General features: G+C 47.3%; 1 protein-coding gene across 4 annotated transcripts in view, besides 3 other annotated features; it reads left to right on the forward strand.

The window, feature by feature from the left end:
- Window positions 3,280-3,349: an enhancer, noted in NCBI's record as "active region_16392". NCBI's record gives its function as "activates an Ori minimal core promoter by ATAC-STARR-seq in GM12878 lymphoblastoid cells {active_cell/tissue: GM12878}" and the evidence as "EXISTENCE:reporter gene assay evidence [ECO:0000049][PMID:35858748]".
- Window positions 3,670-4,059: a silencer, noted in NCBI's record as "silent region_11872". NCBI's record gives its function as "represses an Ori minimal core promoter by ATAC-STARR-seq in GM12878 lymphoblastoid cells {active_cell/tissue: GM12878}" and the evidence as "EXISTENCE:reporter gene assay evidence [ECO:0000049][PMID:35858748]".
- TTL (tubulin tyrosine ligase) overlaps window positions 3,949-12,362 on the forward strand; it is a 59,584-nt gene continuing 51,170 nt past the window's right edge. For all 4 annotated transcript variants that reach the window (NM_153712.5, NM_001371712.1, XM_011510665.3 and 1 more), the window contains exons 1-2: window positions 3,949-4,294; window positions 7,710-7,788. In NM_153712.5, coding sequence (NP_714923.1) covers window positions 4,138-4,294; window positions 7,710-7,788 — 236 coding nt within the window. In that variant the 5' untranslated portion in view covers window positions 3,949-4,137. The remainder of the gene's footprint in view (window positions 4,295-7,709; window positions 7,789-12,362) is intronic.
- Window positions 4,620-4,719: a silencer, noted in NCBI's record as "silent region_11873". NCBI's record gives its function as "represses an Ori minimal core promoter by ATAC-STARR-seq in GM12878 lymphoblastoid cells {active_cell/tissue: GM12878}" and the evidence as "EXISTENCE:reporter gene assay evidence [ECO:0000049][PMID:35858748]".

Below are 12,362 nucleotides of genomic sequence, written 5' to 3' on the forward strand. Positions count from 1 at the left end.
AATTTTCTACATATATGTTATCTGCGAATAGAATCAATCTCTTTAATAGGTGTGAAATTATTCAGATTTTGTATTTCTGTGTCATTTTTGGTAAACTGGATTTTTCAAGGAAGTAGTCTATTTTGTCCACACGTCAAATTCATTTGCAAAAATTGATCATAGGATCTTCTTTCTTTCTTTCTTTTTTTGAGACGGAGTTTCGCTCTTGTTGCTCAGGCTGGAGTGCAGTGGCGCGATCTTGGCTCACGGCAACCTCCGCCTCCCGGGTTCAAGACCGTCTCCTGCCTCAGCCTCCCGAGTAGCTGGGATTACAGGCGTGCGCCACCACGCCCAGCTGATTTTTTGTATTTTTAGTAGAGGCAGGGTTTCTCCATGTTGGTCAAGCCGATCTCAAACTCCCGACCTCTGGTGATCCACCCGCCTCGGCCTCCCAAAGTGCTGGGATGACAGGCGTGAGCCACCGCGCCTGGCCGGATCTTATTGTTTTTAATACCTTCAGGATCTCTAGTGATGTTTCTTTTTTCATTAAAAAATTTGTTTAAAAATATTTTTAAATCTTCTTGCATCTGACCTTTTTCATTTTAACTTTGATTGTTCTTCCTTTCATTTGTTGGTCTTGAATGCTTAACAATTTTAAATTTTTTAAAATATATCCCCTTTGCCTTTGATTTCTTTATTGTACATTTATTTTCTACTTCCTTGATTTCTTCCCTTAGGATTTATTTCCTTTTACTTACTTTGGGTTTTGCTTATTATTCTTTTTCTAGTTTCATGAGATGGAAGCTTAATTGATTTTCAGTCTTCTTTTAAAAACATACGTACTTGGCCCACGCCTGTAATCCCAGCACTTTGGGAGGCCGAGGCGGGCGGATCACGAGGTCAGGAGATCGAGACCATCGTGGCTAACACGGTGAAACCCCGTCTCTACTAAAAAAAAAAAAAAAAAAAAGAATACAAAAAATTAGTCGGGCGTAGTGGCGGGCGCCTGTAGTCCCAGCTACTCGGGAGGCTGAGGCAGGAGAATGGCGTGAACCCGGGAGGCAGAGCTTGCAGTGAGCCGAGATCACACCACTGCACTCCAGCCTGGGCCACAGAGCCAGACTCCGTCTCAAAAACAAAACAAAACAAAAAAAAACACATATGTACTTTAGACTGTAATTTTTTTATTAAAAACAGCTTTAGCTGTATCCTACCAGTTTTGCTATGCCATATCTTTATTCTCATTCAGTTAGAAAATACTTTCTCATATTGTGATTTCTTCACGGATTCATGGGTTATTTAGCAGTGTACAATATCACTTAATCTCCATGCAACTTAATTCCACTATTGTCAGAAAAGTGTTCAGAATTATTTCAATCTTTTGAAATTGCTGGAGTTTACTTTATAATCCAGGGTACTGCCAGTTTTGGCAAATTCCTTACATTCTTTGTTCCAATATTGCTGCTGACTGTACGTACTGTCTCCAGAAGAAGAGGGCACATCCAAATTCTAAGGTCTAAGCTAGGAAGTGATACATATCACCTGCTCACATTCTACTGGCAAGAGTATATTCACATATCCACATTTAATGCTTACTGCTAGGGGCTTAATGCTAGGGTGGAGGCAAAGCTGAATTTTCGGAACAGATTCTCCCCCTATAAGACAGCAAGACAGTGGCAAGCTGTCCCACACAGATAGTGTTCCATCAGATTGGTCTGATTTGGACCAGTTTCCTACGTTTTACCAGTCGCTGTGGCAAAAGGGATAGAGAGTAATCCTGTTGGACCAAGCCTGGATATTCATTTCCTTTATCAATAACAGACACTGTTAATCCCACAAGAGCCACAAAAAATGGGTTCCAAGGGGGTCAGGCGCTGCGGCTCATGCCTGTAATCCCAGCACTTTGGGAGACCAAGGCGGGCAGATCACTTGAGGTCAGGAGTTGGGAGATCAGTCTGGCCAATATGGTGAAACCCTGTCTCTACCAAAAATATAAAAAGTAGCCAGGCATAGTGGCCTGTGCCTGTAGTCCCAGCTACTCAGGAGGGTGAGGCAGGAGAATCTCTTGAAACCCGGAGGTGGAAGTTGCCGTGAGCTGAGATCACGCCATTGCACTCCAGCCTGGGCGACAGTGCAAGACTCCCTAACAGACACACACACACACACACACACACACACACACACACGTTCCAAGGAGGAAAGATGAGTTACCTTACAAAGAAAAGGGAATAAGCTGGGTGTGGTGGCTCACGCCTGTAATCCCAACAGTTTGGGAGGCTGAGGTGGGAGGATGGCTTGAGTTGAGGAGTTCGAGACCAGCCTGGGCAATATGGTGAGACCCTGTCTCAAAAAAAAGTGGGGTGGGGAATAAGTAGTACCGTACAGAACCTACAGCTAAAAGAAACAAAAATGGTGCTCGCTACAAAAAGTGAGAAAAAGGAAAAAGGTAGCTTCTGGATTTGGAAATTCAAAGGTCACTGGTGTTCCTAATGAGATCCACGGTTGTGGAGTGGCAGAGAGAAGCCACCTGTGGCACAGGAGTCGTCAGTAGGAGTCGCAGGAGGAATTGATGCAGCATGGTGGGAGTGGACGTCACTTTCAAGGTGATCAGCCGTGAAGAGCGGCAAACACAGCGTCTTGGCTCGAGTTCCCCCAAACGGTGCCCCCTGGAACAAGAATTTGAGCACGAGTACAGTAGTTTTTTTGGGAGGTGATCCCAGGAAACATCGGTAGTCAGGGAAAGGAAGGAAGCCAACAGAAGATGCCCTGATGAGCAAGTTGCAGCTGTGGACAACCGCAGCCGTGGCCTACAGAGGACCACCGCAATACGCCTAGGACACACGCCTCCCCGCAGGGCACGTGCGGAGGGCGAGAGGGCCAGGGCATTCTCGACCAACTCTATCCCTCGTGGAGGGAGAGCAGCTGGGAAGGAGTGCAAGCACCCAGCACCTCTAAGTCTGCCCCATTTCTGCTCTGAGCGGGCTCTCCACAGCCAGCGGTTGCCTGCAGGTGGAGCCGGTGCGCAAGACAGGCGAGTGAGCGCCTGGCGGCCCCGTGGAATCTGGGCAACGATGGGAAGGAGAAGGGCGCTTTTACAATGTGCTCGGGTAGATACCGTGAGCATCGGGGGACAGGAAGGGGAGAGGCCCCAGGGTGTTCTTTATCTACAGGAGAGTAAAAGATGCAAGGCGCAGGGCTGATGTGGGTAATTTATGAGGGACTGTAGGAAGTTTGGGGGAGCTCTGATGATCATTGCCTTCTCTTTGTATCTCAAATGCAGCAGCACAGTCTTCAGAGTGGGCTATCAGAACCGAAGGGACTTTTAAGAGCCACTCTCCGCCGCTCATAAGGGGAAATCGAGGTCCGGAGAAGGGAAAGCAAGTGGCTGAATGCCGGTAAAAGGCAGGAAAAGAGCGGAGCCCAGGGCTCCAGGGGGTCGGTTTGGGACCTGCTTCCACCAGCAGAGTCTAAGGTCATCCCCTTGGCCGTGCGCCACCCTGGGCTCAGCCGAAGGAAGGAGCACTCGACACAAACAAAACCGACGCTCCGGGTCTCCGTAGTCGTTAAGCAAAGAGGAAGAGGAAGCGCTTCTTCATTAGGCCACAGGACCGGGCCTTAGAACTTTTGGGTTTTATCCATTAAAGGTCCTTTGGCAATAGAAGAAAAACCCAGATCGAGCCCTGCAAACTGGGATCTTCCGCCGGCACCGCCCCCCGGCTGCGACCCGGGGCTCGGAAAGAACCACCCCAGGCCCGGGCTCCGGTTCCACCGCACAGTCCGCCCGCTGCGGTAAAGCCGCGCCCACCGCCGCGGGTCTCCAACCCTGCGCCGCCGCCGCCCCCGGGGGAGGGTACGGAAAGGGCGCGGCGCCGCCGCCCACGGGCTCCTCCAGAGCGCGGCGGGGCCGGGCCGCGCGGAATCACGGGACAGAGGCGGGGCCGCGCCGGCGGGGGCGGGCGTGCGAGCGGCGCTTTCCTCTCCGGCACCCGGCGGGCGCCCGGGCGCGGCGCCGCCGGCACCCGAGAGGCGCGGTAGCCGGCGCGGGCGGCGGGGGCCGGGCCGCGGCGGGCGCCCGGGCGGGGTCCGCGCTGAGCCGCCTTCTCGGCCGCCTGGTCCCTGCGGCGGCTGCCCGGCGGCCCGGGCGCGCGGCGCTTCGCCATGTACACCTTCGTGGTACGCGATGAGAACAGCAGCGTCTACGCCGAGGTCTCCCGGCTGCTCCTCGCCACCGGCCACTGGAAGAGGCTGCGGCGAGACAACCCCAGATTCAACCTGATGCTGGGAGAGAGGAATCGGCTGCCCTTCGGGAGACTGGGTGAGCCCCTCCCCGATTCCCGTCTGCCCTCCTCGGAGCGGCCCTGCGCGCCTCCCGCGGCCCGTTAGAACCGGCGCTTTTGTTTTTAAAGGTCATACATTTTCTCCTCTGTCGCTTGTCGGGCACATCAGAAACGGATTCGGAAAGATCGAAACCTGTCGTTTTTAATGCTTTCTTGTCTCCTAACTTGGATTTAGAGTCGGAGTCGCGGTGCGGCCACTCGGGGCCGCAGCTACCTCCCGACGGTGACCGGTCCCTGCAGCCCGGGAGACGCTGGCCGCCGGGGCTGGGACCTGAGGCGCGAGTCTAGCGGCTCCCCCGGGCCGAAGCCCCCAGATTTGGCGGGTCCGCCGCGCTGGGCGCGGCTCCGCAGAGCGGGCGGCTGGAGTCATCTTTTGCAGCTCGTCTGCACTGAGGATTTCTCCCTGCTTGGCGTGGGCGCGGGCGGGGGAGCCGTAGGTGTTGAAACCCCTGAGGCTTCTGCCCCCCGAAGGCGCGGAGGAGCGATCAGAGGATTTGGAAAAGACCCCCGGATTCCAAAAGCAGGAGCTGCAGAAGAGACCCTAGCCCAGGGAAGTGTGGAGGGATGTCTGATTATAAACCTTTCCTTAGTTTCACCAAATAATGTGTTTTCGCAGTTCTGCATTGGATTAAGATCTTACACGAGGCTGCGTTCGCCCTCCCTGTCTTCCCTGCTCTCCCCGAGGGAATTACCTTCATCCACATGGTTGAAGCTGGCTGGGCACCACCATACCCACATGTCCACGGGTAGGAAAGCGCAGGAGATAGGAGGGGACTAGCGGCTCCTTTGTAAGTGATGTCATCCAGAAGTTGCCCAGATCGGTTCAACTCACATCCTATTGACCTGAGCATAGTCTCATGGCCTCCCTCTCTGCACAGTCATCTGGGAATTGCATCTTCTCTCCGGGGAGCCATGTTCCTTGCCAGAATTCACCAGAGGTGGGGGCCAATTGTATTCCAAAGACAAGGGGAGAATCGATACGGAGGAAGAGTCACCTCTACCTTGGAGGGCAACCCAGAGAGAGCAATGTTCTATGTCCAGGAGAGAAAACAGTTTTTAGAAATAGGTGTGGTCAGAATTCAAATGGGTAAAAACTGAATACGGGCCATTTGGAATTGACTGGTCATTTATGAGCTTCCATAGACAGAGCCTTTGGGAGGGGGCTGTGTAAAACTCAAATCGTTGGAGGAATGAAGAGCTGCAGTGTAAAGTTGCTGGATTTTCTTCTTTTGAATAGTACCTGGGACAACTTTTCATTGGTATACAAGTTTATGATGTAGAATGGTGACTCCATGGAAGGACCCATTTGAACACCCAGAAATCTTAGAATATGGAGACTGTGCCTGGAGGCTCCCTTTGGTTAACCGGTGTCAGGAAGACCCTAGCAAAGAGAATTCATGATCTGAAAGGAGAGGAAGAATTGCTTATAGTTGAGAACAATTATTTGTTCCTTGCATTGTCCACTTCCCCTTCCAGACTTCCTGACTTCCCTCTATATTCTTGGCAGTGCCTAGCTGTGAAAGCTTAGGTGGAATCATAACATTAAAAACAACAAACATGGCTCCGCCCAGGCAGAGGTAGGAGTGACTGGCATTACCCTGGTGCTTAAGCCTAGGAGTGAGAAGCAGAAGCCTCCAGAATTTGAATCCTGAACAGATACCACAAATTCAGGAGATGATCAGTAAACGTTTGAGCTTTTTGTTTGTATGTGTTTTTTTTTTTTTTTGTAGTTTTGTTTTTTGTTTGTCTGTTTGTTTTGCGACAGAGTCTCACTCTGTCGCCCAGGCTGGAGTGCAGTGGTGCAATTTTGGCTCACTGCAACCTCTCCCTCCTGGGTTCAAGCAATTCTCCTGCCTCAGCCTCCCAAGTAGCTGGGATTACAGGCGCGCATCACCATGCCCAGCTAATTTTTTGTATTTTTGGTAGAGACAAGGTTTTGCCGTGTTGGTCAGGCTGGTCTCGAACTCCTGACCTCAGGTGATCCGCCCACTTCGTCCTCCCAAAGTGCTGGGATTACAGGCATGAACCACCGTGCCCGGCCAACATTTGGTTTTTATGGGAAAGAAAACAGCATCCTACAACAAAATTGGTTATATGCCATCACTGTTAAGGGATATTTACCTTTTGCTTAAAGTGTACTACATGAAAGCCAAGGAGAAGATTTATAGAGCTAGGTAAAGGCTCAGGAAGGCAGGTGCCCTGTGGATAAGAATGTAGGCAGTTCAGGTGGGAATCAGGTCTGTCTGCTCAGGGAGACCAGTGAGAGCCAGCTAATGCCTGCCTGAAACTTTTGATTTGACTGTATGCCATTCTCAGAGAAATTATTCTTTCTTCTGGCATTTTCAACTGAAAATTCCTTTGGTCTTACTTTGATTTTGTTACTGGAAATACAGTGTGTTTTATTAAGATTTGAAACAAAACATTTTTTATTTTATTTTATTTTTGAGATGAAGTCTTGCTCTGTCGCCCAGGCTGGAGTGCAGTGGTGGGATCTTGGCTCACTGCAACCTCTGCCTCCCAGGTTCAAGTGATTCTCATGCCTCAGCCTCCCAAGTAGCTAGAATTACCGGTGTGCGCCACCACGCCCAGCTAGTTTTTGTGTTTTTAGTAGAGATGGGGTTTTGCCATGTTGGCCAAGCTGGTCTTGAACTCCTGATCTCAGGTGACTTACCCACCTCAGCCTCCCAGAGTGCTGGGATAACAGGCATGAGCCACTGTGTCTGGCTGAAAACACTTTTTATTTTTAATAAAAATTGTTTTTCTTTGTGTCCTTTCTGCTCTAATTCTATAAAAAAAAGCCACATGTAATAAGAGCTGTTGAAAATGAGTTTCCCCATGGAATGCGGCACAGAAGAAAGCTCTCAGGGCTTCTGATTTTGTAGACATGGCCTCTCCACTACCTTCCTTCACCTAGAAGCTTGCAGAGATAGACTTGCTTGAGACCAGCATCATTCTAGTTCTCCTTCCTTCCTTGGTATGGAAAGCCAGGTTACGGATGTGGAAAGCGTGACTGTTAAAGTAGCCTTATTGTACAGAGTGACAAGTCTATATGTGTTAAGCCAGGAGCGGAATGCAGTGTGCAGTCAGGGAGAGGTGAAATGAAAAAATACCCTCAATACCCTCTACCCTAACAAGAAAAAACAGACAAAGGTAGCAGCAGTTTTGGCAAACCTACGATGTTGATATAATATCCACTGTGGGGAGAATGAAGGTTGCCAGCGGAATACTGAGAGAAAGAGGGTCCCTGGGGACAGAGAAACAAAATTGTTCCATTTTCCATTTTCTAACAGCCAATCCTGAGATGAGAGAGAGAAAAGCTGGGCATGACACAGCTGTCCTCTCTCCTGCTTGCTGTGTCCTGTGTCCCTTCTGAGCCTCCTCTTTCCTTCCTAGGTCACGAGCCCGGGCTGGTACAGTTGGTGAATTACTACAGGGGTGCTGACAAACTGTGTCGCAAAGCTTCTTTAGTGAAGTAAGTGTTAAGACCGCTGTTTTCCATTTTTTACCTAAATGAAGCACTTAGGCAAAAATGTGGGGTTGTTTAAAGGACAAACATACTTTTATTTTAAAAGCCAACAAATATCAGTTCAGAAGCTTCCTCTAAGCCGCTTTGGTTGCGGTCCAAAACATGGTGCTTGATAAAGCCTGTCTGCCTCTGAGGTGAGGCTCCTAGAAGCAGAGCCTGACTCAGGGTCTCCTGTGTAAGTGATTTCCTGGGGTAGGATTCTTAAGAGACAGCCATCGGGAAGCAAGGACAGGGCAGGGCAGGGGGAGAACCAAGTAAAGAGGTGGTTTCAGCTGAAGTCTTGCCTCTCCTGACTCCAAGGAGCACCAGAGTGAATGGCACCTCAGAGTTGTCACATTTTGAGCAAGGACCAGGCCTCTATGCTCCAGTATCAGTCAGCCATTGGCTGTGGGAAGAGATGGAGGGCTTAGCTTCGCAGGCATTTCTGGGCAGGGGCTGGTCCCCAGAGAAGGGCATATATAGCCCGTAGCATCCTTCTCTCATGGCTGTAAGGGGTCCCTCAGAAAGGATATCTGGGCAGGGTATAAGAGCATTCACTGCACTGCCCATCTCTGAGCAGTTGGATTATGGCTAGGTATCACAAAGTGGAAGGAGACGGTGTTAGACAACGATTAAGATCTAGGGTGAAAAGTGTAAGTGTTCACCCCAGCTCCTTCTCTCACTAGCTTGGGCAGATCTCCTCATCCCTCTAAGCCTCAGTGCCTCCCTCGTAAGGCTATTATGAGAATTAAATAAGGTGATGCATGTAAAGTTTATATAGCACAGTGGCCTGGTACATAATGAGAATTTGACACTATCTTAATTTTCTTGGCTGTAAAATGGGGAAATAATAATAACTACCTAAGGTTGTTATGAGGATTAATTGAGCTAATTTAGCTACGGGCTTTGAATTGTGCCCGTCTTGTTGTTCCTACTGTATAAGTGAAAGCATTCCTTATTATTGCTATTAGTATAGTTGTCATTGCTATTACTGTTGTTTCAGTAGGAAACACTGGGTCGGGCCACTAAAATCAGGGCTGTCGTGGGCCTCCAGTATTCTTTCCATGATGACTGGTGAACATGTGTGTGTAGCCAGGTACTGGAAGATATGACTCAATGCAAAATGCTCTTTTCCCACTAACGTTTCTTTCTGGGCTCTAGATATTTACTAGGTTGGGTGCTCACAGGAACATTTCTGCTTTTTGTTCACTCATTGGCCCTGGTAACTTATGTACCCACTCCTCTCTGTGATGGGTTTATCATGATTCATCCCACTCCTGAAGGAGAGTGAGGCTTCCTGAAGTCATTTTGTGACATGTTTGTATATTTAGAATGCAAATGACTGTTACATGGAATCAGGAATAGAAGTGGGACATGCTTGTTTATTCAAATTATTCACTTAGAAATTCTTATTAAATATTTATTAAACCTCTTCTGCTACGATTTTTCCCCTAAAGATAAAGTAGGAAGCAGAGGACTCAGTAAAAAAATAATGGTTTCCATGTTTGTATATTTTGCAGTTATAGTGAAGCAGAGTGAGTACAGGGCTGGAGTCGTGACCAACTGTGATAAATATCTGTGACCTTGGAGAGCACCACTCAGAATCCCCGTGTCTCATCTGTAAAATGGGGATGGATGGTGGTGACAGTACCTGCCCCTTGCCCCTCGGAGGCATGCAGTGTGATCTGTGATAGCACCTTGTAATGGTGACATGACCTATGCAGGCTGGAGGTTGCATCATCCTCATCAGCTTCCATCTTTGTCTCAGTTGTCCTGTGAGGGGCTTGCAGTAATTCCAGGATATGATGCTTCCCTTTATCCATTTGTCTCTCTCCCATGATTTTGTATGGCTTGAAAGGGCTCCAGAGAGTTAGAAATAAAGTCTCCTTGATTTTATAGGACAAAGTGGCAGTTCAGAGAGGACAGCCAGGTTGCCCATGGCCATAGTAGCTCCTGTTAAACCAGGACAGTTTTAATCTGCACAAATGGGACCCCTGGCCATTGTGACTGTGCACCCTTGGGAGGCTTCCCAGAGCCTTGGTGGGGTTCAGTGCAAGACCCTGTGCAGCCCAGTCCTTCCCCCTGTCACTTCAGGGAGTTTCGGAAATTTCACTGAGGCCTCAAGGCCATAGTCTTAGAACCCTGAGGGGCTTTTCTTCTCCTGGTACAGATCAGAGGCTATCTTTTCCTCTCCTGAGCATTGCTGTTTTATAGATGTAAATAAATCTCCATTTCTGATTACTTCCCAAATGGGCCCATGAGGAAATGGGACAAAAGCAAAGGACTTCCTGCAGAGCCTGGTCTTGGTTCTGTGCAGGAAATGAGGGCTTCCAAACCAAGGTCATCTTACAGACCAGCACTGTCCAACAGAAATAGGATGCTACCCACACATGTAATTATAAACCGCCTAGTAGCCACATTAAAATAAGTGCAGAGAAACAGCTGCAAGCCGGGCGTGGTGGCTCACGCCTGTAATCTCAGCACTTTGGGAGTCTGAGGCGGACAGATCACTTAGGGTCAGGAGTTCGAGACCAATCTGGCCAGCATGGTAAAACCCCATGTCTACTAAAAATACAAAAATTAGCTGGGTATGGTGGTGGGTACCTGTAATCCCAGCTGCTCGGGAGGCTGAGGCAGGAGAATCGCTTGAACCTGAGAGGTGGAGGTTGCAGTGAGCCGAGATCATGCCACTGCACTCCAGCTTGGGAGACAGAGTGAGACTCCTTCTTAAAAAAAAAGAAAAGAAAAGTAACAGCTGCAATTAAATTAATAATTTATTGCCGGGCGTGGTGGCTCACGCCTGTAATCCCAGCATTTTGGGAGGCCGAGGCGGGCGGATCACGATGTCAAGAGATTGAGACCATCCTGGCCAACATGGTGAAACCCCGTCTCTATTAAAAATATAAAAATTAGCTGGGCATGGTGGCAGGCGCCTGTAGTCCCAGCTACTTGGGAGGCTGAGGCAGGAGAATTGCTTGGGCCCAGGAGGTGGAGATTGCAGTGAGCTGAGATCATGCCATTGCACTCCAGCCTGGGTGACAGAGTGAGACGCCGTCTCAAAAAAGAAATAAATTAATTTAAAAAACCCAAATAATTTATTATATTTAACTAAATAAATCCAAAATGTTATTTTGACATGTAATTAATATAAAAAGCTATTATATTTTACGTTCTTTTATTCACTCTTCAAAATCTAATGTGAATTTTACATATGTAGCACATCTTAATTCAAACAGTAAATTTTCATTGGAAAGCTTTGATCTGAATTTAGATTACATAAAAAATGTATGGTTGAAGAAGTAGATTTATGTACTCAAGTTGTACATAAAAGTTTTTCAACAACTTTGAAAGCCAGAAGATCTATTTCCTTTAATATTGCACACACATTTTCAAAACTAGTTCATCTTTTCTAGAAGAATTGATTTGACTATGAAGCAAAAGCTTATTTTCAAAATAATGTCCAAGTTAAGTAAATTCACCAACTCTTGTGTTAGTTTGATACTGTAAATATCAAATTCAAAGATGTATTGAATATATTGAAAAGTAACTCTAAATTTACCAATGTCAACAAAGTGTTCCTCAGATTTCTTTTAGTTTTTGCAGCCAATTTTCATAATGCTATTACAATTAACATTTTTTGCATACTGAATCATGTTGTAAAAATATGTGAAATCATTATTATCAACTTATGAAGTTGGAACATAAATTCTCACACCTGTCTGGGTGGATCATAAATAAGATCTTCTCTTCCCTTCCTTGGAGCTTTAAATTTATCTTGTTTATATGCAGTATGAAGATAGATGAGAAAATGCAAATGGCAGTCATTTTTTATTTTGATTATTGAAATAATGAATTACTGAGTGAAAATGATGATTTGACAAACATTCCTTTTATTTTCAAGAAAATCTGAATTGGAGTTGAAAAGTAAATCTTTATTTAAAAAGACCCTTCCCCTTCTCCATCAGTGAATACTGGCAGAGAACACAGTATCATTAAATTCATTGTCTTCTGTTTCCATGAACTGGAGAATCATTGAGTATATACAGAACCATTTTAACAACTGTATCCGTGACACTTAGAGTCTGCTTCAGAAAACCTAGCACAAGGCCGGATGTGGTGACTCACACCTGTAATCCCAACACTTTCAGAGGCCAAGGCAGGTGCATCATTTGAGGTCAGGAGTTCGAGACCAGCCTGGCCAACATGGTGAAACCCTGCCTCTTCCAAATACAAAAAAAAATTAGCTGGGCATGGTGGTGTGCGCCTGTAATCCCAGCTACTTGGGAGGCTGAGGCACAAGAATCGCTTGAGCCGGGGAGGCAGAGTTTGCAGTGAGCCGAGATTGTGCCGCTGCACTCCAGCCTGGGCAACAGAACCAAACCCTGTCTCGGATAAACAAACAAACAAACAAAAAGCAGACCTAACACAAATGTTTTCAACATGTAACACATAATGCAATGAAGCAAATGTTTCCAATATGTATCATACAATAAAATGAAGTAGTAAAGGAAACATTAGTCTACTAAAATCTTAGTAAATCT

This window comes from Homo sapiens, chromosome 2 (assembly GCF_000001405.40).
Source record: "Homo sapiens chromosome 2, GRCh38.p14 Primary Assembly".
NCBI classification, from domain to species: Eukaryota; Metazoa; Chordata; class Mammalia; order Primates; family Hominidae; genus Homo; species Homo sapiens.